The sequence below is a fragment of the Homo sapiens genome, chromosome 7 (assembly GCF_000001405.40).
Source record: "Homo sapiens chromosome 7, GRCh38.p14 Primary Assembly".
In the NCBI taxonomy this organism is placed as follows: Eukaryota; Metazoa; Chordata; class Mammalia; order Primates; family Hominidae; genus Homo; species Homo sapiens.
Window position 1 is genome coordinate 23,213,662 of NC_000007.14, and position 27,863 is coordinate 23,241,524.

The 27,863-nt window shown below is 43.6% G+C and overlaps 1 long non-coding RNA gene across 2 annotated transcripts, besides 1 other annotated feature; it reads left to right on the forward strand.

The window, feature by feature from the left end:
• The first annotated feature begins 413 nt into the window (after positions 1-413).
• Positions 414-26,098, forward strand: LOC101927890 (uncharacterized). Of its 2 annotated transcripts, XR_927097.3 has the most exons (3): positions 414-509; positions 23,028-23,162; positions 24,748-24,974. It is a non-coding gene; the product is annotated as an uncharacterized LOC101927890 (long non-coding RNA). The 2 variants fall into 2 exon arrangements; XR_242147.3 differs by having other exon boundaries at positions 23,028-26,098.
• Positions 20,917-21,146: an enhancer, noted in NCBI's record as "active region_25722". NCBI's record gives its function as "activates an Ori minimal core promoter by ATAC-STARR-seq in GM12878 lymphoblastoid cells {active_cell/tissue: GM12878}" and the evidence as "EXISTENCE:reporter gene assay evidence [ECO:0000049][PMID:35858748]".
• Positions 26,099-27,863: the final 1,765 nt, after the last annotated feature.

The window sequence follows — 27,863 nt, forward strand, 5'->3', positions numbered from 1 at the left end:
GTTACCAGCAGTGAATCCATACAGGTCTGCAACAACCTCAGTTCTTGCCTCCTCAGAAGAAAGAATTCGACCAAGGGGGCATAAGGTAGAGTGAGAGACCAAGGCAAGTTTTACAACAGTAGTGAAAGTTTATTAAAAAGTTTTATGGCGGGAATGAAAGAAAGTGAAGTACACTTGGAAGAGGGCCAAGCGGACAACTTGAGAGAGTCAAGTGTGCTGTTTGACCTTTGACTTGGGGTTTTATATGTTGGTATGCTTCTGGGGGTTGCATCTCTTCTCCCCTGATCCTTCCCTTAGGTTGGGCTGTCCGCATGCGTGGTGGTCGGCCAGCACCTGGGCGGGGGGAAGCATGCGCAGTATGTTTACTGAGGTTGTACGCATGCTCACTTGAGGCGTTCTTCCCTTACCAGCGCAGTGCTACCAGAGGAAGCTAAACCAGTTAAACTACGCCATTTTGCCTCTTAGTGGGCATGCTTGAGTCCACTCACCCAACTCCTGATATCTTATTCGTAAGTTGCTAATCACCAATTTCAGATGTTTCTATTTATTGGGAGACAACCTTTCCCTGGCACTGCGACCAATTATTATTTTAGAGAGACAGCTTAACAACCGCTTGACCATCACCTGATGGTCCCCTGACATTCCTGGTGGGGGCAGGGGGCCTCTCCTGTTCCTGGGGCAGGCGCAGCACTCTCTTAGCTCTACCCTGTAGCCCCTGCTTCCACCATAACAGTTCACAAAGAACTGGCAAACCCTTGAAATTTCCAATTTCCCTTCTTTTGCCATTTTCTGTAGGCTGCTATGATTCAAGCCAGAGAAAGCTGCCGCCTCAGCCCCCACCTCCATCGCCGCGGGGGTGAGGCCCCAGATACCTGCCTGGCTTCTTCAGCTCTCCCCTTGGCTCCTAGCTTTGTGCTGAATGGTCCTGCCTTCCCACAATGCCCTTATCTCACCAAATCTTCACCCTGAAGCCATGAATTAGAGCTTCTAGCTGACTAAATGCAGTATCTCTCAGAAATCTGTCATGTGTCCTTTCTGCTTCTCGTGCCCAATTAACTAATTAGCATCATTTTACAAACTTCTCTGGGCTAGCCCTAGAGCTCAGCTCTAACACCACCCAGGTCTCCAGGTAAAGCCTGGCTATACCTCCTATCCTTGTTTTGTTGCTGATAAATAAGCTTTTTATTGATCTTGCAGAAAAATTATTTTTCTAATTTTTTTCTCTTTTGCCTTTCTATCTTGAGTTGTGCCATGACAAAACACCACCAACCCCATTTTCCAAACCTTACATAGAGGTTCTCTTCCCCCTTCTCCCTGTGTGCCCAGCATGGTGTGAAAACACAGCCTGAAAATATTCTCTCCAGCTTCTTCTGTCAGGTTCCCCACCCTTCTCCATCAGCATTCTTAACGCCACAGGGATTCCTTCCAGCCCACTTTGGAGTACAGTTTCCCTCAGGCCACAACATTTACTGTTATTTTATGAATAAAACTTTATTTTACTGGCGGTTGGTAAACTGAACGAACAAGTACTATTTATAAAATAAATACAGAACATGATACAACAGCCAGCATTTTTTCTTTTTTTCTTTTTTTTTTTTTTTTTTTTTGAGATGGAGTTTCACTCTTGTTGCCCAGGCTGGAGTGCAATGGCGCGATCTCGGCTCACTGCAACCTCCGCCTCCTGGGTTCAAGCGATTCTCCTGCCTCAGCCTCCCAAGTAGCTGGGATTACAGGCATGTGCCACCACGCCCGGCTAATTTTTTGTATTTTTGGTAGAGACAGGGTTTCCCCACGTTGGTCAGGCTGGTCTCGAACTGCCGACCTCAGGTGACCACCCGCCTCGGCCTCCCAAAGTGCTGGGATTACAGTCATGAGCCACTGCGCCCGGCCTACTGCCAGCTTTGTTTCTAAAGGGCATTACAAACATTGCCCTACTGGTGTTAGTAAACATACTTGTTTTAAAGGCTCAATTTTATCAGAAGAAACCTAGAAACAGAAACTGGAATGGTGTAAAAGGCTCTACCCTATGATTATTTGGTTTTCCCAAACCTAATTTTTTTTTGTAGATCTACATACATTAGCTATTCTTTATTCTTTGAAAATAGCACTTTAACTTAGCGTAACTACCTAATCCCCATTTACTCATGAGATTTTAGAAGAGAGGAGTTCAGAAGGAAAAGTTATTCAACTTAAAACAAAATCTCTAAGTAAATGATGCTTGAAGCAGATGAAAAACCAGCTGACCTACTTCCATTACTTAATTAAGAAGGTGGAATCAATATACAAGTGTTTGCTAATTTTATTCATTTTTTTGGTCAGTTACGTTTATGATATTCAGTGATGTCTGTTTACAGTAATGTATGTGTGTATATATATATACACAGTGAGGCAGTGAGGCAGAATCCACCTGCTAGATTAATTGCATTGTGTTTGGGTATCAGAAAAGGCCATGGAGCATTTATCTGTCCAGTGGCCAGTGAGTTGATTTGGGTTTGTTTTGCTTTTAAAAAAGAGGAAGAGGGTGGTAGTGATCTCCTCTCCAAGAGCCCTAAGCAGCTGACTTCAGGGTGTCACGGGGTCTTGCCGGCCTGGAAGCATTTCAACACCAGGCTCAGGTCCCTGCAGAGCAAATCCCATGACTCCAGTCACTGTTGTGCCAGAATTCTGTTGTGGGCAATTCAGTTTAAGTGAGCAAGTCTTGAAACATCTTTTTATGTTATAGGGATTTTATGGGAAGAGAGGCTTAATTCTGCAGGATTTGATTTATTTTAGTATTAATAATTTTTGATTATTTTTTCTAGAAAAGGTGTGAGATGACTTATGAAAATATATACAGGCTGGGTGTGGTGGTTCACGCCTATAATCCCAGCACTTTGGGAGGTCAAGGTAGGCGGATCACTTGAGCTCAAGAGTTTGAGACCAGCCTGGGCAACATAATAGCTGGGCATGGCAGTGTGCGCCTGTAGTCCCAGCTACTCACGAGGCTGAGGTGGGAGGATCACTTGAGCCCAGGAGGTGGAGGTTGCAGTGAGCCAATATCATACCACTGCCCTCCAGCCTTGGTGACAGAGCAAGACTATGCAAAAAAAAAAAAGAAAAGAAAATATACACAATAAAATAAAACTTTAGACAAGTGGATGAGAAAACAGAGGCAAAAGGAAAATGAGGACAGGAAAAAGAAAATGAAGCCACAAAATGTGTGCTCTGTGGGCTCTATGCTTACTGGCAGTGCTGGCAGAGTTGGTTCTTAGCTTCCTAATAGCAAGATAATGAAGGCAACAGTGAGCTCTGTGGCTCACAGTGTCCCTAATTTCTTTCTTTCTTTTTTTTGAGACAGAGTTCTGCTCTGTCACCCAGTCTTGAGTGTAGTGACACGATCTTGGCTCACTGCAGCCTCGGCCTCCGGGATTCAAGTGATTCTTGTGCCTCAGCCACCCAGTATCTGGGACTACAGGCATGCGCCACCGTGCCCGGCTAATTTTTGTATTTTTAGTAGAGGCGGGGGTTTCACCATGTTGCCCAGTCTGGTCTCGAACTCCTGGCTTCAAGTTATCCACCCACCTTGGCCTCCCAAAGTGCTGGGATTACAGCCGTGAGCCACCGTGCCCAGCCGCTAGTACTTTTTTTCTGAAAAGAGAATACAACTGCTCAGGAGAAGGCTAAGCATTCTGTATGCTGAGATCAGAGAGAAATTTCTCACGTACATGTAATGCCTTCAAAAGGATCCTCAGTGAATTCCTTTGGATGGACCACAGTGACTTCCCAGGGCTATTTCATATGATGTCCTTTTGCAGAATAGGGCGCTTCAGGCCAAAGTGAGCATGGGAAATCAGTTCTACAGGGAGCCAAGATGATGCCCTTTGGGGACCCATCTCAGCTTGTTAGCTGAGTGGGTTTTGGAGGGCCTGATGGGTGGTCAGACCTATTATCACTGAGCAAGCTCTGCAGCATCAGTGAGTTCAGGAAAGCATATTAATAACTGCTGGGCTTTGGTGCTGTGTGCTTAAAGGTGCTGAGCGAGAGGCAGGGTTAGGACTGGCTGCATGAATTGTGAGATCCAGGGCAAAATGAAAATACAGGGTTCCTTGTTCAAAAATTAGGAATATCAAGATGGTGACAACAGAGCATTAAACCAACCGAAGCTCGTTTCTAAGAGTGGGGCCCTGTGGGACTGCACAAGTCACACCTCTATGTTGCTGGCCCTAGGCAGGAGATATGTCCTCATGAAAAGTCAAAGAACCTGGTGAGGACACAGCCTGAAGAGAAGGTCAAGCCAACCTGCATTCTGCTGAGCCCCAGACTGCAAACAGGTTCCTAAAGACTATGTCTCTCAAATCCCAAACTCGGGTGTGGGAGAAATACTACTTTATTTCTCATAACAAGTTAATTTTTGGCTCCACACCTCACATTACAAGGCTGACAGAAAAGTAAATGAGTAAACAAACCCCCACCACCAATCACATCCTAAAGCCCAGTACCCCCTGCAGTTTTTGCATAGGAAGCTTTATTATTTGAGTTATTCAGGGTGCTTCCCCATAACAATCTCCTGCAAGAAATATTGGGGAGAACAGGGACAGTGGCATGTAGCCCCACTTGGTCTAACAGAGTGTTTTAATGAGAGCTGGAGGAGGAAGGTCAGTCTCTGGGTGACAGGCAGCCACTGGTGGGAGGATCCTGCCCCATTAGATGCTTCTCTGCCACCTCAGACCCGGGTGGGCCCAGCTCCACCTCCCAGGCTAGATGTAGCCAGGCCCCAAAGCTCAGGACGTTTACAGGAGGTCTAGAGCAGGAACCACCAAAGAATCAGAACTGTTCGTTCATTCAATGCATGTTTATTGAATGCCAGCTAGGTCAGGCACTGCTCTTGGGGCTAGGGAGACAGTCAAGAATAAAACAGACCCAAATCCCTGCTCTTGTGGAGCTCATATACTATTTATGGAAGACAGTCTGTTTTTAAATGAGTCAACCATCTTGTATCTAGGAAAATAATAAGTGCTATGTTAAAAAATAAACATGAAAGGAAATAGGTTATACTAGGTGTGGCTATTGCTATTACCAATAAGGGTGTCAATGACGATCTCACTGAAAAGGGGCATTTGGGCAGAATACGAAGAAGTCAGGAAGCGAGCCAGGCAAATTCCTGGGGGAATGGTGGCTAGTGCACAGGCCCTGAGGTCAGAGAGCCTGGTGGGCTTGAAGCATAGCAGGAGACTGTGGGGACCTTGAGCAGAGTGGGGTTGGTGCTAGGGGGTGAAGTCAGGGAGGGAGCAGTGGCTGCAGCAGCACTTGTGGAAGGATTAAGTGGCGTATTAGAGATAGAGAGGAATGAAAATTGGAGTTTAATTTTGGACACTTGATATTTGAGATGTTATTATATATCCACATAAGTTAAGGTTAGGTTACCCATATGGAAAAAATGGACATCGATCAGAAGTTAACTCTAATTGAATCATAGACCTGCATGGAACTAAATACAGAAGCTAAAATTACTATTAAAATTCTTGGAAGAAGACAGATGAAAGTCTTTGTGACTTGGTGGAAGGCAAGGATTTCCTATATAGAACAAATAAAAGCATGGAATTTTCCTACTAACTTGATAAATTGGACTTTATTAACATTTAAAACTCTTGCTCATTGAAAGATACCATTACGAAAACAGAGACGGGCCAGATGCGGCGGCTAACGCCTGTAATCTTTACACTTTGGGAGGCTGAGGTGGGTGGATCGCCTGAGGTCGGGAGTTCAAGACCAGCCTGGCCAACATAGTGAAACTAAAAATACAAAATTAGTTGGGCATGGTGGCGCACGCCTGTAATCCCAGCTACTCGGGAGACTGAGGTGGGAGAATTGCTTGAACCCAGGAGACAGAGGTTGCAGTGAGCCGAGATCTTACCACTGCACTCCAGCCTGGGTGACAGAGCGAGACTCCATCTCAAAACAAAAAACAAAAACAAAAAAAAAACAAGAAAACAGACAAACCAGAAAATGGGAGAAAATATTCACAGCATAGAAAACTGTTACATTTTCATAATAAGACAAGTAACCCATTGTTTTTAAATGGGCCATCTATTTGAACAGACACTCACACAAGGATGTATAAAAATGGCCAATAAACACATGAAAAAATGCCAATATTATTTGTCATCAGGTATCTGTACTTAAAACCACAATGTGATACCATTACCCATTGATAAAAATCGCTAAAATTTTAAAATTTAGCAGTACCAAGTGTTGATGAGGACGTGGAATAACTAGACATCTAACCATTGCTTGTGGAAATGGTACAGCTGCTTTGTAAAAGTTTGGTGTTTTTGTAAAAAGTTAACCATGCACCTACCTCCAGTAAGACCCAGCCATTCCACTAGGTATTTTTCCAAGAGAAATGAAAATATATGTTCACACAAAGACTTGTACACAAATGTTTATAGCAGATTTATTTGTAATAGCCAAAATCAGGGCGAGGGTGTGGACCCATCAACAGGTGAATAGATTAATAATTAGATATACCCACACAATGCAATACTATTCAGCAATATGAAAGAGCAAACTTCTAATACAAACAACAACATGAATCAATCTCAAAATGATGCTGAGTGGAAGAAGCCAGGCACACAAGCATACATATGGCACGACTTCATTTGTGTAAATGAAAACCAATCTACAGTGACAAAAAGATCATTTTGAGACCCTGTGCAAAGTGACACAAAGAATCTTTTGGAGGTAATAGAGATGTTTTCTATTTTGATTGTGGTTGTGGTTTCATAGGTGTGCACAATTATCAAAATGGATTGAATGTATGTTTACTGTATGTAAAATAATCCACAATGGAGTCGGTGAGAAAAATAGCCAATTCTATAGGCCCCTTCATGACCTCTCCCAGACGTGCTTTTACCCTTTTCACTCCAGACCTTTTGCTAATAGGCTAACAGAACCATAGACAAAGGTCTCCCTTTGGATCCAAAAAGGAGTAGAATAAGCTGGACAGTGACTCTCAAGTGGCTGGAGTTTTTTGTTTTGTTTTGAGTAAATCTAGGAACATTCTACTACGAGATCTGAGAAGGTTGTATCCTAGCCTAGAACACAGCCAGAGGCAAAAGCTTGCACGCTAATGTCTTACTGAAATATACAATCCAAGAGAGGCAGGAGTGATAGAAAAGGAGACCTGGGTCAGGGAAGGAGGGAGAACAAAGAGCAGGGGAGGGACTGCTGAGCTTGTCACAGCTTGCAACAAACGCAGCAGGTTGCTCCTTCTCACAGGACATCTCAAGAGAGGCCAGAGAAACCTACTGCATTTGAAACAGTCTGTTGTTGGGGAGGAAAGGCGAGTCACTTATCTGCTGGCTTCTTTCCATCTTCTCTCAAAATCCCCATAGGGCGTCAGCTTCCCAGTACTGCTCCACGTTGCGGAAGCCGAAGCCTCTGTCAGTGGGCTGTGCACATAGGCACTCCTTGGTCTGTGGTGGCCGAGTCTGTGGCCAGGGCTTTGCCACAGTGGGAGGAATGGGAGCTTTCACTGAGACCACTCACGCTGGGAGGGAAGGTCACTAGGGTCAGCAGGTCTGGGAGGATGCCAGGCTGGTCTGGTAGAGTTGGGTGCCTGCAGTCTGTGCACAGAAAGCTCCCTATATCTGGGTAAGTGTGGAGTTTCCAAAAAGGGTGATGGAACCCAAGGGACACTGCTGTGGTGGTGTTCCCAGACCCAGCAAGACTGACAAGAGTAGGTGCACTAATTGGAAACAACTTTACCCTCTTTTGAGTGTTACCAATTCTACTGGGTTGAATAGTGGCCCCCCAAAATTCGTCTTCACCCAGAAGCCTGTGAATGGGACCTTATTTGGAAATATGCCCTTTGCAGAGGTATTCAAGTCAAGATGAGGTCAAACTGGATTAGGGTGGCCCCTAAATCCAATGACTGGTGGTGTTACAAGAAGAGAGAAATTTTGGCCAGGCACGGTGGCTCACATCTGTAATCCAGCACTTTGGGAGGCTGAGGTGGGTGGATCACCTGAGCTCAGGAGTTTGAGACCAGGCTGGCCAACATAGTGAAACCCCCTCTCTACTAAAAATATAAAAATTAGCTGTGGGGCTGTGGGCATTGAGTGCTCACCGGAGAGGGAAGAAACAGTAGCGCTAAGCATAGCTCTGGTTTTTCTGGTCCACGATGGCCCCAAGTGAAAGAGACATTTCTGCTGATATATTTAGCCAAACATTGCTCACTAAAACTACCTATTCAGAAATTACTCAGACAGGCATTCCCTGTGATTTAAGAGTCCATTAATTATTTTGTCTTCTGGAATGAGCCATCCAGCCTAGGGCAGTGTTATGGCTGAATTGTGTCTCCCCAGAATTCACATATTGAAGTCCTGCCCTGCAGTGCCGCAAAATGTGACTGGGTTTGAAGATAGGATCTTTAAAGAAGTGATTGAGGTGAAATGAGGGCATATGGGCAGGCTGTAACCCAGGGTGATTGGTGTCCTTATAAGAAGAGACTAGGACACAGGCATGTGTGTACATAGCAAGAAGACGGCCATCTGAAAGCTAATGAAAGAAGTCTCAGAGCAAACAAACCTGCCAACACCTTGATCTCAGACATCAGCCTCCAGAACTGTGAGAAGTAAATTTCTGTGATTCAGGGTTCCCAGTCTGTGCTACTTTGTTATGGCAGCCCTAGCAAACTAGTACAGGAAGCATCCTGGTGGCAAGAGATCACTTCGTTGGGAGCATCAGACATGCCTCAGGCAGGATCAGAAGTTGCACAGAGGCTTAGGGCTTGGGAGTAAATGATTTTTAGTTTTCAGTTTCCCTGCTCAGGTCTATTAGCGGAAATGAAAACGTCTAGGATCACTTCTTAGGGCTCCCAAGGACCCTCTCCTGGAGGGATTTAACAAAACAGAACCCAGGAGAGAAGAGGCAAGGGACAGCCAGGGGGCATATTATTCCACACTCGTGGAGCTCAGGAACAGTGCCACCTATGGCACTTCCTATTGATTGATATTTGAGAAGAAGCCCAGGCTGCCCTTTGACCTCTGTTTTTGGTCCAGAGAAAACGGATGCAGCTAGGAAGCCTTGCTCAGTGTGCAGCTAAATTGAGGACACATTCCAAGATGCTTATTGGCCAGTGGCCAAGGCCCCTCAGCCAAACCCCACTTGCCAATAAAAGGAGACCATGACCCAAGTAGTGTGCCCAGAGCAACAGCTGGACAATTGTGTCTGGCTGTGAAATTCGAGTCCCAGGTCAGCACTGGCCAACAGGCTGCTGCACTTAGATGTTATAGCCAGGGAGGAACCAAGTCAAAGTACTGTTACTTGGTGAGGGGAGCAGAAGCCAGAGCCTGAGTTACTCTGAGAATGTATCCCCACAGCCTCTTACCAGTGGGGGGACTGGAGAATTGGTGGAATCCACCCAGCCTCCAGACAGGAACAGCCTCTATCAGAGAGCTGACAATGTTCCAAGTTTACCCCCACCCACTCACCCCTAACCTCTGCAAAGAGAAGGTTTGGGACAATTAGTGGGTGGAGAGCCCAGTGACCCCCCAGTTTTAGCTAGGGGTGGATCCCTTCCCATAGAGTATCAGGGGCAACCAACCTCCTCCCCTAGAATCCTCAGAGGGCTGACTTCAGGAAGAAGGCAGCAGGGCCGGGTCAGTGATGAGGCTAATGTTGTCATGGAAGGAGAGGGAAGTTTTCTGAGCAGAGAGGACCCCACCGTGCAAAGTGTAGGAGCCAGGGACAGCTCCTCACAATGTGTATCAGGAAACCATCTCATTGCAACTGACCTACGACTGGCTCAGTGCATTCCAGGAGACCACCTCTCACATAGCCCAGCAGGACCACCAGCTCTTCTCTATCACTAAACATGGGGGCAGGGTCAGCCCCACCCTTAAAGAGTCGGGAGCTTGTGGCTAAAAGGAACTGTTTGTCTCTTTGCCCATTTTGTCCCTTCACCTCCTCCTCTGTCTGCTGGTGGGATGAGCATATCTTTCAGGATAATAATCTATAGGAGGTAACCAGTATTAGAAAGAGAGAGGTTTGTTGATGTTGAAGCTACTCCAGTCTGAAGAATGGGAATATCTGTGTGGTCACCAGCCTTGGACACAAGGGCACAGCATGAAGCCAGAACTGGATGAGACAGAAGATGGGGGTTAGAGGACGACCGAAGGTAAGGGATTACAAGCATTTGATGGACACAGACTGTCTCTCTATGGATTTGCCTCTTCTGGACAGTTCATATAAATGGAGTCATACAGTGTGGGTCACAAGATGTGCCTAGCTTCTTTCATCCAGAGTAATGTGTTCTTTTTTGTTTTTTGTTTTTTTGGGGGTTTTTTTGTTTTTTGTTTTTTGTTTTTTTCGAGACGGAGTCTCGCTCTGTCACTCAGGTTAAAGTGCAGTGGCACGATCTTGGCTCACTGCAACCTCCACCTCCCAGGTTCAAGTGATTCTTCTGCCTCAGCCTCCCAAGTAGCTGGGGCTACAGGCGCCCGCCACAACATTTGGCTAATTTTTGTATTTTTAGTAGAGACGGAGTTTCTACTAAAAACCCATGTTGGCCAGGCTAGTCTCGAACTCCTGACCTCAGGCGATCCACCCACCTTGGCCTACCAAAGTGTTGGGATTACAGGCGTGAGCCACCATGCCTGACCTCACTCAGGGTAATGTTTTCAAGGTCCACCCTTGAAGCTCTTCTTTCCTTTCCATGACTGGAAAATAGTCCATGGTGTGGATATGCCACATTTTGTTTATCTGTTCATCCGTTGATAGACATTTGGGTTGTTTCTACCTTTTGGCTATTGTGTGTAGTGCTGCTATGAACATTCATGTACAAGATTTTGTTTAAACTCCTGTTTTCAATTTATGGGGGTATAGGAGTGGAACTGCTGGGGCATGCGGTAATTTTATGTTTCACTTCTTTTTTTCTTTTTTTTTGAGACAGAGTCTCGTTCTGTCACCCATTCTGGAGTGCAGTGGCACAATCCTGGCTCACTGCAACCTCTGCCTCCCAGTTTCAAGCAATTCTCCTACCTCAGCCTCCCGAGTAGCTGGGATTACAGGCATGCACCACCATGCCCAGCTAATTTTTGTATTTTTGGTAGAGACAGGGTTTTGCCACGCTGGCCAGGCTGGTCTCAAACTCCTGACCTCAGGTGATCCACCTGCCTTGGCCTCACAAAGTGCTGGGATTACAGGCATGAGCCACCGTGCCCAGCCATGTTTCACTTCTTTAGGAACCACCAAACTGTTTTCTATGGCAGCAGCACCATTTTACATTCCCACCAGCAATGTATGAGGCTTCCAATTTCTCTACATCCTCACCAACACTTGTTATTTTCCATTTTAAAAAATTGTAGCCATCCTAGTGGCATGGAGTGGTATCTCAGTATCTCATGGTGGTTTTGATTTACATATCCCGATGAAGAGTGATGTTGAGCATCTTTTGTGTGCTCTTTGGCCATTTGTATATCTTTTAGAAATGTGTATTCCAGTCACAGGTAACGTTTGAAGGGAGCATTTTGATTTTATACCCTCAGACTAAAGACAAAAAAGAACTGTAAGCAGATATCAAACTCTATTAGCAAGTTGGTTTTTCATACAGGGTTGAAAATTCTGAAACTACTTTCTTTATATTCTAGGGTTAAGCAAACAAGTGATTTTGTTGTTGTTGTTGTTGTTTGTTTTTGTTATTGTTTTTGAGATAGTGTCCCACTCTGTCACCCAGGCTGGAATGCAGTGTTGCGATATCAGCTCACTGCAACCTCTGCATCCTGGGTTCAAGCAATTCTCATGCCTCAGCCTTGCAAGTAGCTGGGACTACAGGCATATCTCACCATGCCCAGCTAATTTTTGTATTTTTAGTAGAGGGCTTTGCCATGTTGGCCAGGCTGGTCTCAAATTCCTGGCCTTAAGCAATCCTCCCGCCTCGGCCTCCCAAAGTGCTGGCATTACAGGCATGAACCACCGCACCCAGCCACGAACAAGTATTATATTGAGGATAACGAGAGCCAGGTTTCTCACTTTTGAACAGTGGATTTACAAGGATGAAAAGGGGTAAGATTTGAATGAGTCCTGCGATATTAGATTGGAATTGAAGGTATTGGTGTGAATGCAAGATTTTGAATATAGATAGAAAAACAGAATTACATGTGGTGCAGATACACAGACACACACACAAAGAAAGGACCTACAAGTAACAACACCCAGTAGCCATGAACACACCTAGCACCAAGGTCACAATTTCTAAATATCACACTGCACTGAGAATTAGGGCTCTTTGGGGAAATATCTGACTCTTCGGCTGGGCCAGGGAAAATACAAGATGAGCCTGGATCATGACAAAAAAGTAAGGGCTCAGTAAGTCTTGGGGCCATTTCAAAAGAATGCAGGAGCTAGCTCAAAGAGACCCTACTGGCCAAATATAGAACAATTAAAATAAATAATTACAGTATAAATTTTAACTCATCAAATAAGATAAGAATCTATCAGTCTAAAGAACAACAAACTTGGAGGACTAACACTGTCTGATTTCAAGTTGTATTATAGGTAGGGCCCAGTGGCTCATGTCTATAATCCCAGCATTTTGGGAGGCTGAGGCGGGAGGATCGATTGTGGCCAGGAGTTGCAGACCAGCCAGGGCAACATAGCAAGACCCCATCTCTACAAAAAATATAATAATATAAATTATAATATAATAATAAAATACATTTTAAAATAAAGATGTATTATAAACCTACAGTAATCAAGACAGTGTAGTGTTGGCAAGAAGACAAATAGCTCAATGGAACAAAATAGACTCCAGAAATAGATCTATACATGTATGGACAATTGATTTTTTTTTTTTTTGAAACAGGGTCCGGCTCTGTTGCCCAGGCTAGAGTGCAATGGTGCAATCTTGGCTCGTTGCAACCTTCACCTCCTGGGTTCAAGCCAACCTCCCACCTCAGCCTCCCAAGTAGCTGGGACTACAGACACATATCACTACACCCAGCTAATTTTTGTATTTTTGCTAAAGACAGGGTTTCTCCCTGTTGCCCAGGTTGGTCTCAAATTCCTGAGCTCAAGTGATCTGCCTGCCTCAGCCTCCCAGAGTGCTGGGATTACAGGCATGAGCACCATGCCTGGCCTGACAACTGATTTTTTTACTAAGGTGTGAAGACAGTTTACTGAAGAAAGGATGGTCTTTCCAACAAATTGTGCTAGAACAACTGGATATTTATATGTATAAACTGAACTTCGAGCTACACCTCACATTATATATAAAATGAACTCAAAATCAATTATATTTTAAATAGCTCTGTTGAGGTATAAGAGACAATAAGCCACACACATTTAAAGTGTACGGTTATATCCACACCCATGAAGAATGGCATTGTCACTCAGATAAGGAAGACTGCAAGCACCAGTCAAGTTTCAGTTGCAGAGAACAGAATCCAGTCGAGCTACACTAAGCAGTAGGAGACATTTTTGAGTATAAAATGAATTACAAGATCATTAAGAGGGCCAACAATGTAGCTGCTAGACTCAGTATCCAGGAACAACTCTTGGAGACACATCATAAAACTTGTTGCCAAGGGAACTGCTGTCCCTGCCACAATCAGCAAGCTGCCTCTGCTAAATTGGGAAGCCACCACTCCTTCCGCCAGCCTCAGAGCTGTACCACTTCTGGTGGGGTTTTCACTAACAAAACAGATGCATATGCCTTGCCTCTCTTCCTCATTAGATCAGTTCCAAATTCAAGTCTCAGGTCTGATTGTCAAAAGCTAAATGACAGTCCAGGCATGGTGGCTCACACCTGTAATCCCAGCACTTTGGGAGGCCGAGGCAGGTGGATCACCAGGGGTCAGGAGTTCGAGACCAGTCTGGTCAACATGGTGAAACCCCCATCTCTACTAAAAATACAAAAATTAGCCGGGCATGGTGGCGGGCGCCTGTAATCCCAGCTACTTGGGAGGCTGAGGCAGGAGAATCACTTGAACCCGGGAGGCAGAGGTTGCAGTGAGCCTAGACAGTGCCATTACACTCCAGCCTAGGCGACAAGAGCGAAACTCTGTCTCAAAAAAAAAAAAAAGAAAAAAAAAAGCTAAATGACATCTGGAACCCTGGCATCAAGGAAGTCTGGAAAATGTGTGTTTTTTTCTGGCCTCTGCAATATTGAAAGGCATTCTTTTTGTTTGTTTGTTTGTTTGTTTTTTTGAGACAGAGTCTAACTCTGTTGCCCAGGCTGGAGGGCAGTGGCACGATCTTGGCTCACTGCAACCTCCACCTCCCGAGTTCAAGCGATTCTCCAGCTTCAGCCTCCTGAATAGTTGGGATTACAGGCATGCACCACCACATCTGGATAATTTTTGTGTTTTTAGTAGAGACAGGGTTTCACTGTGTTGGCCAGGCTGGTTTTGAACGCCTGACCTCAGATGATCTGCCCACCTCAGCCTCCAAAAGTGCTGGGATTACAGGCATGAGCCACCACGCTCAGCTGTGGAAGGCACTCTTAGAGGGTGGTTGGGATAGATGTTGAGCGAGTCAATCCACAATATCCATCACAGTGTGGATGGAATCAATTTGGGAGGGAAAATCAGGAGTTCAGTTTTGAACACTATAAATTTAAGTTGTCATTTCGATATATGACTAGAGCTGAGTAGTAGGCAGGGAAATAAAATGCAGTGTAATGTAGTGGTAAGAGCACAGATTCTGGAACCAGTCTGCTTGGTTTCATATCATAGCTACCTCATTTATTAGCTGTGTGACATTGAGCAAGTATCTTAACCTCCCTGTGCCTCAGTTTTACCAGCTGTAAAATGACAATAATAATGTTATTTAATAACCATTTATTTCAGTATCTTCCCGAGTAGTGTCGTTATGAGAAATTAAATGAGTTAATATTTGTAAAGCATTTAAAACACTGCCTGGCACAAAATAACCAATGTATATGTGTTTGCTATGATAATAATAATAATAATTTTAATTAATAATGGTTTGTTTAATTATTATTATTTTAATTAATAACCTAGCAAATACACATACACAAATGCACTGCTTATTTTATTGTTGTTACTATGAGCTCACCTAAGGAGTACATGTAGCTAGAGCAGAGAAGAGATTGGAGCACTGTGACATCCAGAGGTCAAGGAGATGAGAAGGAACTAGCAAGGTGACTGAGCAGGAGGGACAAGGAGAAGTTGGTTCAAGAATCCAGGAAAAAGGATTGCAAGGAAAAGGGTGACCAGCAGTGCCTGATGGTGCTCTTAGTCGAAACAAGATGAAGCCCGAGAATGGACCATCAGATTTGACATAATAAGAAGGTCATGGTGACAAGAGCTGTCCAATGGGAAGGTGGGAAAGAAACCCTGATAGCAATGGTTTCAAAAGGGAATCAGGGAGAGGGTGTGAAGGCAGCAAGTGTGGCCATTCTTTTGAGGAGCTGCACTGCAAAGAGGAGCAGAGAACTGGGAGAGTAGCTGACCAGAAAGAAAATGGAAACCTCAGTCCTACAACCACAGGAACTGAATTCTGCTAACACCATATGCGTTTGGAACAAGACCCTGGGATCTAGAATGAACACAGCCCACCTGACACCTTAATCACTGCCTGTGTGATGCTGAGCAAAGGACCCAGTTGAGCTGCGCTCAGACTTCTAACCCATGGAGATTATGAGATAATGAATTTGTGCATTTCCAAGCCGCTAAATTTATGGTAATCTGTTATGTAGCCCCGGGTAACTAATACAATGACTAAGTATAATGCAATATTAAGGAATTATTGTTAACATGTAACTGTTGTAATTTGGAGTTACAAAAAATGCTCTTTTTTTAGTGATGCATATGAAAGTGCTAAGGAAGTATCTGTGATTTGTTTAAAAATAAAGATAAAGAAGGCCGGGCATGGTGGCTCACATCTGTAATCCCAGCACTTTGGGAGGCAGGCAGATCACCTGAGGTCAGGAGTTTGAGACCATGTTGGGTTTCACCCAACATGGTGAAACCCCATCTCTACTAAAAATACAAAAAAAATTAGCTGGGTGTGGTGGCGCAGGCCTGTAGTTCCAACTACTCAGGAGGCTGAGGCACGAGAATCACTTGAACCTGGGAGACAGAGGCTACAGTGAGCCAAGATTGCACCACTGCACTCTAACCTGGACGACAGAGCGAGGCTCCATCTCAAAATAAAGAAAGAAAGAAATAAGTAGGATCAAGTGTGGTGACTCACGCCTGTAATCTCAGCACTTTGGGAGGCCAAGGTGGGTGGATTACCTGAGGTCAGGAGTTCAAGGCCAGCCTGGCCAACATGGTGAAACCCCGTCTCTATTAAAAATACAAAAATTAGCCAGGTGTGGTGGCGCACACCTGTAATCCCAGCTACTCAGGAAGCTGAGGCAGGAGAATCGCTTGAACCCAGGAGGCGGAGGTTGCAGTGAGGCAAGATCACACCATTGCACTCCAGCCTGGGTGACAGAGCGAGACTCTATCAAAAAAAAAAAAAAAAAAAAAAAAAAAAGAGCGAGAGAGAGAAATAAAGAAAGAAAATATGAAGAAATATGGTAAAATGTTAATAATTATTAATCCAGGTGATGGATATACAGGAATCATTATACTGTTTTATGTCTTAAATTTTCATAATAAAATGTAAATATATACATAATGATGTGTGTGTATGGGTGGGTGTGTGTGTTAGAGAGAGAAAAAGTGAGGGCCTAGTCTTAAGGCCCCTTTCTTCTCCTCCTGCTCCTCCTCCTTTATGTTGTTTCCTGATTGCCCTTTTGGTCTACCTCTCTTACAGGGCTGTCCCCTTTTGGCCTGCTGTCTTTCTGAAGATTGTACCTTCTAGAGCATATTTTCATAATCCCCTCCTAATAGAAGTTGTATTGAGCCTTTAATCTCCAGCCCTGTGTGTCATGGAATCTGGCGTGAGCTGACCCAGAAGGACAGCCACCTCCCCTCAGTAGGTCTGGGTGAGCCCCTGGGGGCTGAAGTGTCATTGTACAATGGCCCTTATTCACAGCAGGGCTGCCTTTCAGGGGGCCTGGTGTGCTCTCCTCGTGCCAACCCCAGCTGTCTTTCTCACCATTCTGAGCTCTCCTCTGCCACCTTGGCCCAGGCCTTAATACTTTCTCAGAAACCCAATTCCTTCGGCAGAAGCCACATGTTCCGCTCAGGCCCCATCTGACAGCTGTGGCCCCTGGCCCAGCCCCATAGACGTTCAGTGTTCCCTTTCACAGGCCCTGGTGTGTTCCTGCCAGAAAAGTCCACTTCCTTTACGATTCTCTTTTTCATGGTGTCACTTTTTTTGGCCTTGTGCATCATGCCAATTCCTTGCACACTTGATGAAAGGATTCAGGGGCAGAGAACTTGAATCAATGGGGTCTTTTTATTTTTGAACATCAGTAAACAGCACAAATCAATTCAATGAGTTCAGCCCCCTTGGTTATTTTCGTGCTTACTGCAGTCTATGCCCAGCATTAAATCCCACTGAAAATGCCTCTTGTTATTGCCAGCTAATGAAGAATGTCGCTCTTTTTTCTAGGTTTGAACACACTCCAAAACATTGGCCTGAAAGATCAGTTTAACATTGGAAAGCCCTGAATGTAAAATCTTTAACTTTCCCCCTTAAACAGTTCATTGACATTATTCTAATCATTTTCTTTCCTCTGCGTTTTACTGTACTCACTGGCAGTATTTTGATCTGTTTGTTAGTGCAAAATGCAGTCATTTATTTTCGAGACTTAGGAAGATATGCCAAAATCTTTCCCACTGATTAAGTTAAAGATTATGTAATTAGAGATTAAAAGGTACAGTTAACCTGTTGACTTGTCATAGTTGTACTTCCATCAAAGTGGCCCCTTTTCACCTTTTTTGGTCATTCTCAATATCCAGGCCCAGAAAGGACAGTTCACAGTATGTTTAGTGGCACTAGCAAAGAACGTAGACTGGCTGGGTGTGGTGATCACCCAGTGATCACACCCTTGATCCCAGAAGTTTGGGAGTCTAAAGTGGGAGGATCTCTTAAGCCCAGGAGTTCGAGGCCAGCCTGGACAAAAAAATTTTAAATAGTGAGACCCTGTCTCTACAAAAAGTGAGCTCTGATTAATATGCCACTGACCATTTTTAGTCAGAAATGTGGAGGGGCATGTTCTTTTTTTAAAAAAATGCATATATATATATATATATATATATATATATATATATATATATATATATATATATATATATATATATATATATATATATATATATATATATATATATATATATATATATATATATATATATATATTTTTTTTTTTTTTTTTTTTTTTTTTTTTTTTTTAAGAGACAGGGTCTTGCTCTATTGCCCAGGCTGGACTGCAGTGGTGCATTCATGGCTCGCTGTTGCCTCTACCTCCTGGGCTCATGTAATACTCCCACGTCAGCCTCCCAAGTAGCTGGGACTATAGGTGCACACCACCATGTCCGACTAATTTTTAAATTTTCTGTAAAGATGAGGTTTCCCCGTGTTACTTAGGCTGGTCTTGAACTCCTGGGTTCAGGCAGTTCTCCCACCTCAGCCTCCCAAAGTGCTGGGATTACAGGCATGAGCCACTGTGCCCAGTCTATACCCATTACTTGAGAAATAAAACCACAAGAAAAAAAATCCTAAAAAACATATTCAAAACAAAATCTGTATATTTTCCCCTGTAGTACGGAGTGCCTCATTTTATTTATTTATTATTTATTTATTTATTTACTTATTTTTGAGACAGAGTCTCACTCTGTTACCCAGGCTGGGGCGCAGTGGCGTGATCTCGGCTCACTGCAGCCTCCACCTCCCAGGTTCAAGCTATTCCCATGCCTCAGCCTCCTGAGTAGCTGGGACTATAGACGTGAGCCACCATACCCGGCTTATTTTTGTATTTTTAGTAGATATGGGGTTTCACCATGTTGGCCATGCTGGTCTCAAACTCCTGAACTCAGGTGATCCACCCACCTTGGCCTCCCAAAGTGCTGGGATTACAGGCGTGAGCCACCTGGTGGGCTGCCTCATATTTAAGGGGAAAAAAAGACAAAAAAAAAAACCATTAAACTTTTGTTCCCATTTGAAATATCAAGACATGAATTAAGTGGTGCAGACAGGTGGCTTCACCAGATACTGCTAACATCTAGTGAGGCCCTCTGCACAGTGAGAAGGTTCAATGGTAGATTCTGGAACCAGACAGCAGGGATTCAAATGCCAGATCCAGTACTTACTAGCTGTGTGATCTTGGACAAATTACTTCTCTCTGTGCCCTAGTCTGCTCATCTATAAAATCAGAACAATTAGAGTTTCTACCCCACGGGGTTGTTGTGAGTGTGTAGAATGCTTCGATTACTGTCCAGCATATGAAAAGCAATCGTCACAGTCATCATTATGTCCTGGGTGGATGACAATGACTTTCTGGTCCAGCCTTCACAACATTGCCAGAATGGTCTTCCTGGAAGTCTGCTCCTGTCCTCTCTCACATTCCTGCTCCCTAACACAGGATCTGCCTCTCCCCCTAGGAGGAAGTCACCAGGTGATAAACTACTTTCACTCAGAAGGCAGGAATGAGCAGGAAGCCTCCAGGTCACAACAGGAAACTGAGCTGCTTTTTCAAGATGTTCTTCAATTTTTTTGGGGGGGGTGGTTATTAACCTAGGTGAGGAGAGTTGAGTTCATTTCATTCCTCAGTTCAAGGCACATGCTTGTGATTAGTCGGCATAAGTCCCTTCCCTTGCTTTATATTTTATTTATTCTCTTTTATCCACTTTCCTTACTCCTACATCCCCCTACCCCACCATTCTGTTTCCAAGTATTTGTGTAAAGGGAGTGTTGTGGTGGTGAATGCCTGACTTCAAGTTACACGGCTGATGAATGGAGTGTTCCCCACACAGTCTTAAGATCTGTGCTGCCATGAGGACCTCTCATCTTCTCTTCTGACATCTGCCTGTGACCCCCTGGTGTGCATCCTTACATTTCATGCTCCCCTTCCCCAGGTGACAGACACCCAGGTTGCCTCCAATCATCCTCTGCAACGAACCAGGGAAAAGACGGATTTCTCGGAAGATGGTACCAGGAAATCTTGGTACTATGTGGATAAAAATACAGCTGGATCCCCACCTAAGTTACTCCATATGAAGTGAACTCTAGGTCAGGTCGATTAAAGATCAAAATATAGGGCGTGGTGGCTCACACCTGTAATCAGCACTTTGGAAGGCCGAGGCGGGTGGATCACCTGAGCTCAGGAGTTCGAGACCAGCCTGGCCAATATAGTGAAACCCCATCTCTACTAAAAATACAAAAATTAACTGGGCAAGGTGGCATACACCTGTAGTCCCAGCTTCTTGGGAGGCTGAGGCACCAGAATCACTTGAACCTGGGAGGCGGAGTTTGCAGTGAGCCGAGATCATGCCACTGCACTCCCACCTGGGTGACAGAGCAAGACTCCATCTTAAAAAAAAAAAAAAAAAAAAAGACCAAAATATAAAACAATGAGATTACTAGAAGGAAATGTAGGTGAATGAATATCTCAGTGACCTAGGGAAAGAACCTCTCAGGCAAAACTTCAGATACATACAATTCCTTGAACATTTCTTCCATTCAGATTGGTTTTTCCAGTTCTCTCTCACCTCTTGGTCAGCCCTTCTCAACTGCTGAGAGATTATCTTTTGTTTAAGGATAAAAGGGGAAGAAAACCAAAACCTTGAAGGCTGCATTTTCTTTACCTTCAGTTTTGTGTCTGTTTTTTGTTTGTTTGTTTTTTTCTAGATTTCTCCTTTGCCCAGAACAGAGGTCAGCAAACTATGGCTGTGAGGCAAATCCAGCCCACTGCATATTTTCGTACAGCCTACTAAGAAAGGCTTTTACATCTTAATTGGTTAAGTCAGAGAAAACAAAATAAGAATAATATTTTGTGACACATTAACATTATGTGAAATACAACTCTCACTATTCATGTGTTTCATTGGAACACAGACTGTGGATGGCTGCTTTCTCACAACTGCAGAGTTAAGTAGTTATGACAGAGACCATATGGCCCACAAAGCCAAAAATATTTTCTACCTGGCCCTTTGCAGAAAAAAAAAAAATGCCAACTCCTGAACTCTTGTGTGCCCCTTGAGGATGGAAATCATATCCAGTATTTGTCTTGTTTCCCTGACTGCTCAGCACAGGGCCTGGCAGGTAATCGGTGCTATTTCTACCACTTTGGACTACTTTCAGTTTCAAGTAACAGAATACCCTACCGAAAGGGTTTTAGTTCTCACATAACAAGAACTCTAGAGAGAAAACCGGCACTGCTTCAATCTCGGTGACGTTGCATCAGGGACTTGGGTCAACGCCTTCTCCCCCTGCCCTAATGGTTTCAAGATGGCCATAGCACCCACCTCCTTGGGTCATTTCCTCGTACAACCTTTGTTGAAAGACAGAACATGCACAGCAACATATGCAAATAACTTGACCTAGTAAACAAGTCAAGGAGGAAAATAATCCCTGGAGCCCCAAAGCAGACTTCCCCTCATGGCATTAGCCAGGAGTGGATCACATGCTCCCTCACACTAGGGTCCGGACCCCTTCCCTTGAGAACTAGAGATTTCCACCCAAAACTCCAGCAGCATCAGGGAATGAGGAATCAAGAAATGTCTTTGGGGTCGGCAAAGAGAAGTATCTGCCCCAAGGCTGATTAATAGGGAGGCTGATTTCTGACTTTTGAAAGACAACCCAGAAATTAGAACTATTTTTTATGTGCAGAACCAAATTTAATTCCAACCTTTCTTAAGACGCGTAACTCATTTTAAAATAAGATAATTTCTTGGTGGGGCACAGTGGCTCATGTCTGTCATCCCAGCACTTTGGGAGGCCGAGGTGGGCTGATCACTTGAGATCAGGAGTTCGATACCAGCCTGGCAAACATGGCAAAACCCCGTCTCCACTAAAAATACAAAAGTTAGTGTGGGATTACAGGCATGGTGGCACACACCTGTAATCCCACCTACTCGAGGGGGATGAGGCAGGAGAATCATTTGAACCCGTAAGGTAGAGGTTGCAGTGAGATTGCACCACTGCACTCCAGCCTGGGCAACAGAAAAAGATAATTTCTTCAAGTGATTTCACATGGTTTTCAAACCATAGAAGCACAAAAGTTAGCTAAGTAGCTTTTATAAATTCTGGGTGGCTTTTTTGAATCAAATTCAATGTTCCACAGTCAGGACTCTTCTGTTGCTGGACAGTCACGTGGTGCAAGGCTGTAAGTTGAAGAGTGTCCCATAGGCCTTGTGCAGTAAAAGCTCTGCTCTTCATCATAATGGTTGGCTCATCAGGACCATCAGAGTGATCTCTTGGCAATAGTTAAGCAATCAAACGGAGCTATAGTAATGGCTTATAACCAAAGTACACAATCAGTGTCAAAAAGAAAGACAGGGATGTGAACACACAGGTTCCCAGGAGACGCGGAGCCAGAACTTAGCATGGGATCCCAGCCCTGGTGAGTCAGAGCCCATGAGCATGCCCTGGCAGGTGGCCCGTTTGATTCTCCCGGCTCACAGGTTGCATGCTCTGCCTGTGACCCTCTGCCTACAAGACTCAGCAGATGAGCAAATGAAGGCCCAATCAAACAAGAACTAACAAGAAATGCAATATAACTTTTAAAATTAGAAATCTCGAAATGCATCCCAGCACTTTGGGAGGCCGAGGTAGGTAGATCACTTGAGACCAGGAGTTTGAGACCAGCCTGGCCAACATGGTGAAACTCCATCTCTACTAAAAATACAAAAATTAGCCAGGTGTGGTGGTGGGTGCATGTAAAACTCAGGAGACTGAGGCAGGAGAATCGCTTGAACCTGGGAGGCAGAGGTTACGGTGAGCCGAGATCGTGGCACTGCACTCCAGCCTGGGCGACAGAGCTGTCGAGAGAAAGAAAGAAAGAGAGAAAGAGAAAGAAATAAAAAGTGCCAACTTTACAGAGAGCTCTGAGATGATGGTTTTTTATACCTTTTAAAAATTTCCTTGCTTTGCTTGTTACTTATCAGCATTTCTCAACTTTTTTTCAGTCTGTGACTTTGGTGGGATCTGTCTCCCCACTCTTTGCCTGTCCTGCTCTGACCATCCCATCTGACCCAGGTATGAACACAGAGTCCATCCACGCAGTCCTCCCCAAGAGGAACTTGGAGGAAGTAGGGGCCATGGTAAGAAATTACAGATGTCTGTGGGGCAAATAAAATACTGTTTGCACAAAGGCAATTGCTTTGGCCAATCAAGTGCGAAGTCCTAACTTTGTAGATGTTTCCTAATGTGAGAAGACTGCGAAGAATTGCTCAAAAGAGCAACAAAAAACATCTAAACTTTAAAACATCAACTACTGCTATGAACCAGAATCTATCCATATGTCCGGAAATTTAAATATAGCCAAGAGGACGCTCTCTGTGTCAGTCAAATATTGCACCTTTTGTGACCTCTTGTTACCTGCTGCCCAACACACACACACACTCACTCAAAAATCTTAATAGAATTTCCATTTTGTGGAGAACAGGTGGAAAGGAAGGGAGTCAAGAATGCTGCGTCAGCTTCCAGCCATAGCCCTTTCCACCCTATCTGCAGGTTCCTGGAAAGAATGATAGTGGGAAGCCCTGATGCTGGGCCCTAAATCTAACTCTGCTCAGAGGTTAGGCTCTGGAACATCATCCTGTTTCATTTTATACAGGTGTGCACACTCTTTACTGCATTGTATTTCTTTTGCCTCTATTTCCATATTTAGCCTTTAGTTAGAGGTTCTGAGCAAAACTTCCATTTCATTTGCAGTCATTCCATTGTAAAGAATTAGTGAAAATATACCATTTAGCTATAAATATTTGAGCTTTCGAATTCACATGATTAATAAAAGGAAGGTAAGTAAATGTGCAAGAAAGTTATTGTCCAGGCCCAGTGAACTAAGAAAACTCTGAAGGTAGAGGGCAAGATGGAAAACTTCTAGAATGTAGCCTCTTATAAAAAAGGATCTGCTATAATAAGAAAGAGTGTGTTATTTTATATATCTTTTTTTAAGAGTGTGTTTTTATATAGGTGAGCTGAGGTATATATCTCATTACATTTATGTGAATATTCTCTATGAGAGCATGTTCTAAACATTTTTCAGGATTTTCCCATATAGACTAAAATCAGAGAACTTTGCTGCTGTTTATGTGCATGAAACTTTAATTTGTTTTATAAATTTCTTGTGAGAATAGGAATAGCCTCCTTACTGACATAAGGTCTCCAAGCCTCAATCAATTCATAAGAATGTTTCAGAGCCTACTCTATGCCTGGCCCTGTAGTAAGTCTGTAGATATTTCTGTTTAAATCATATCGTCTTTAATTTAATGAATGGAAAGTTATTGGAAGATGTAATGCACTGAAAAGGAAGTAATATCAGGTACGTGGTGTTCTTGTCCAAAACACATAACCTGAATCTACATCATACAACTCCAAAATGGGGGGCACTCTATTAAAAACTAGCCTATGTTCTTCAAAAATATTAATGTCATGAAAGACAAAGTTAGGAATGTTCCAGATTAAAGAAGACGAAAGAGACATGACAACAATATATAAAGCATGATCCTCGATTGGATCCCGAATTAGAGGGGGAATATAGGGCTGTAAAGGATGTTATTGGGATAATTGGCAAAATTTGGGGATTAGATAGTAGTATTGTATTGATGTATTGATGTTACATTTCATGTTTTGTATTGATGTTAAATTTCATGATTTTGATAACTGCACTGTACTTACATTAAGAGAATGCCATTGATCTCTGGAAATAGCAGCTGAAGAAAATAAGAGTAAAGGAGTATGATGTCTGCAACTTATAGTTCATTATAAAACTAGTAAGTATATATGCTTACTACACACACATATGTAAATTAGATATCGTGCAAATGTGGCAAAATTTTAACATTGGTAAATCTGGGTAAAGGATACATGATAGTTCTTGTACTATTCTTTTTTTTTTTTTTTTCGAGACGGAGTTTCACTCTGTCACCCAGGCTGGAGGGCAGCAGTGAACCTCAGCCTCCCGGGCTCAAGCAATTCTCCTACCTCAGCCTCTTGAGTAGCTGGGATTACAGGCACCCACCACCATGCCAACTAATTTTTGTATTTTTAGTAGAGACAGAGTTTTACCATGTTGGTCAGGCTGGTCTCAAACTACTGACCTCGTGATCCTCCTGCCTCAACCTCCCAAAGTGCTGGGATTACAGGCATAAGCCACCACTCCCGGCCCTCTTGTACTATTTTTGTAACTCTTCTGTATGTTTGAAATTATTTCAAAATAAAATTAAATTTTATAAAATTGTTGGTACATACACTAAACTTGTCCTGAAATTAGTTGCCTTGTGAGATTTTACTCTTGGCTAACACTTAAACATTATCTTGAGCAAGGCACTGATGACTAGGTTGAGATCAAAAAGTTTTACAACCAAGTTTTGCAAGATTTATTTCTACTTTGAAAAGAAAGCTGGAGACGGACAGTCGGGTGTGGGGAGTGGTCATTAAATCAATTATGTGTAATGGGAACTCGGCCTCTACATTTCCACTTCTTTATTGCCACTCCTGGGAAATCGGTCAGAGAAAAAAATACGAGATGCACATGCAAACATCTTCCCTGTGATACTCACTTTCCATAAAAATCAGGCACAACCCTGTACCCTTGCCCACTGGAGTTTGTCACCCTCAGGGCTGGCAGGCCTCAGCACTCTCCTGGGCCAGGGCTCCCACGCCGTTTCCCACTGAGAGAGGCCCAAGCTGTGGCTCCTCCAGAAGCCTTTTGTGTCCCTCCAGAACTATGCCGTCCAATACAGTAGCCACTGGCACATGTGGCTGCGAGCTCCTGCGATGAGCTGGTCTGAACTGACATGTGCTGTCAGTGCAAAACCCACACTGGGTTTCAAAGACTTTGCACAAAAAAAAAAAATAAAAGATCTCAATAATTTCATATAGTGATTACATATTGAAATTACGATGTTTTAAATATATTGAATTGAATAAAGTACATTATTTAAATAATTTCAACTGCTGCTTTTTACTTTTTGTTTAATGTGGCTACCAGGAAATTTCATATCATTCACGTTTCACTTCCACTACAAAATAGTAAAAAAAAAAAAAAAATCATATACGTGGTTCACATTATGTTTGTATTAAGCAGACCTACCCAGATGCAGATGAAACTGCACAGCCCCTTTCTCACGCCCTGGCTGCACGCTCTGTCATGCTCTGAGAGCATCTCCCCCTGCTTCTCCAGCTGGCTGCTGCCTCTTACAGCACTACAGGCTCCACAAAGCCAGGAGCCTTGTTCTCCTTGGTCCCTCAGTTTCCAGCATTGTGCCTGCCATAGCTGATCAAGGGTGTTGCTTAGCCAATTTAACTCCTCATTTAAGAACTAGGCCGGGCATGGTGGCTCACAGCTGTAATCCCAGGGCTTTGGGAGGCTGAGGCAGGAAGATTGCTTGAGGCTAGGAGTTTGAGACCAGCTTAGGCAAGATAGTGAGGCCTCGTCTCTATAAAAAAAAGAAAAAATTAGCAAGGCATGTTGGCCTACACCTGTAGTCCCAGCCGCTTGGGAGACTTGAGCCCAGGAGCTGGAGGCTGCAGTGAGCCATGATCGTGCCACTGCACTCCAACCTGGGCAACAGAGCGAGACCTTGTCTCTAAAGCAAAAACGAAATAAACCATATATGTATATATGATTTTATAGTAACTAAGTCAAGTTATACTTCTTCCATAAAGACCTCTCTGTATCCTCCATCTCTCTGCACTCCTGTAGTTCTGTCTTTATGACTTAGTTTGACTGCCACATGATGTTTAGGATTCATTTTTAAATACTCCAGTAGATAATGTTACTGCAGAAGGTGGACAAAACAAGCTTGGCCATATATTGATGATCACTGAAGTAGGTGAGGAGTACATGGAAGTTCCTTATGTTAGTCTATTTTTGTGTATGTTTGGAAATTCCTATAATAAAAAATGTAAATAATGTCTCATACTATGCCTACTTTGAGGGTTAATGTCTCATCTTCACAATGAGTGCCTATGCTCCTAAGATTGTTGTTCATGACTTGTAGATGATGGCTACTGTAGAACAGAGGACCTACATCGGTACTTGCTGAATTAAACTCTATCTTAGGTGCCAAAAATTCCATTGAGAAAAGCTGGATTTAGGTGTAAGAATAAGGATACAAGGTGCTATTCTAGCTTTTGTTTCCTGGCCTTTATCCTACGGTCAACCCCCTTTTTGATTTCTGCTCTAGCTTCTTCTCTCATGGGCTTATGATTAATCTTCAGTGAATGCCTGCAGTGCCCCTGCTCCAGTGTTCTGCGGCATTTCTGGATAGCCCATAGTTATCATAAAACTAAGAACCATCTGGGTGTGGTGGCGCATGCATCTAATGCCAGCTATAAGGGAGGCTGTAGCAGAGGATCGCTTGAGCCCAGGACTCCCAGGAGTTCAAGGCCAGGCTGGGCAGGGTAGCAACATCCCATCTCTAAGTTAATTAATTAACTGGAAGCCAAGTTTGCATTCAGATTTCTATGTTGGTCCCTCCCTTTTTTCTTACTCCATAGATCCCATTCTGCTTCTCTCACTATGTCTCCCTGTTCTATGGGTACTAAAGGTAGAAAAGAAAAGAGTACATTTGCCATTGCTTTCACATCTGCACAATAAGTGTTCATGTCTTACTTTCCTTCTATACTGTAATTCAGAGAAAGTGGTCTAAAAACAATACTAGGATGAAATATTGTGATCATCCACATTTTTCTTTTTCTTTCTTTCTTTTTTTTTTTTTTTTTGATATGGAGTCTCGCTTTGTTTCCCAGGCTGGAGTTCAGTGGCTCAATCTCGGCTCACTGCAACCTCTGCC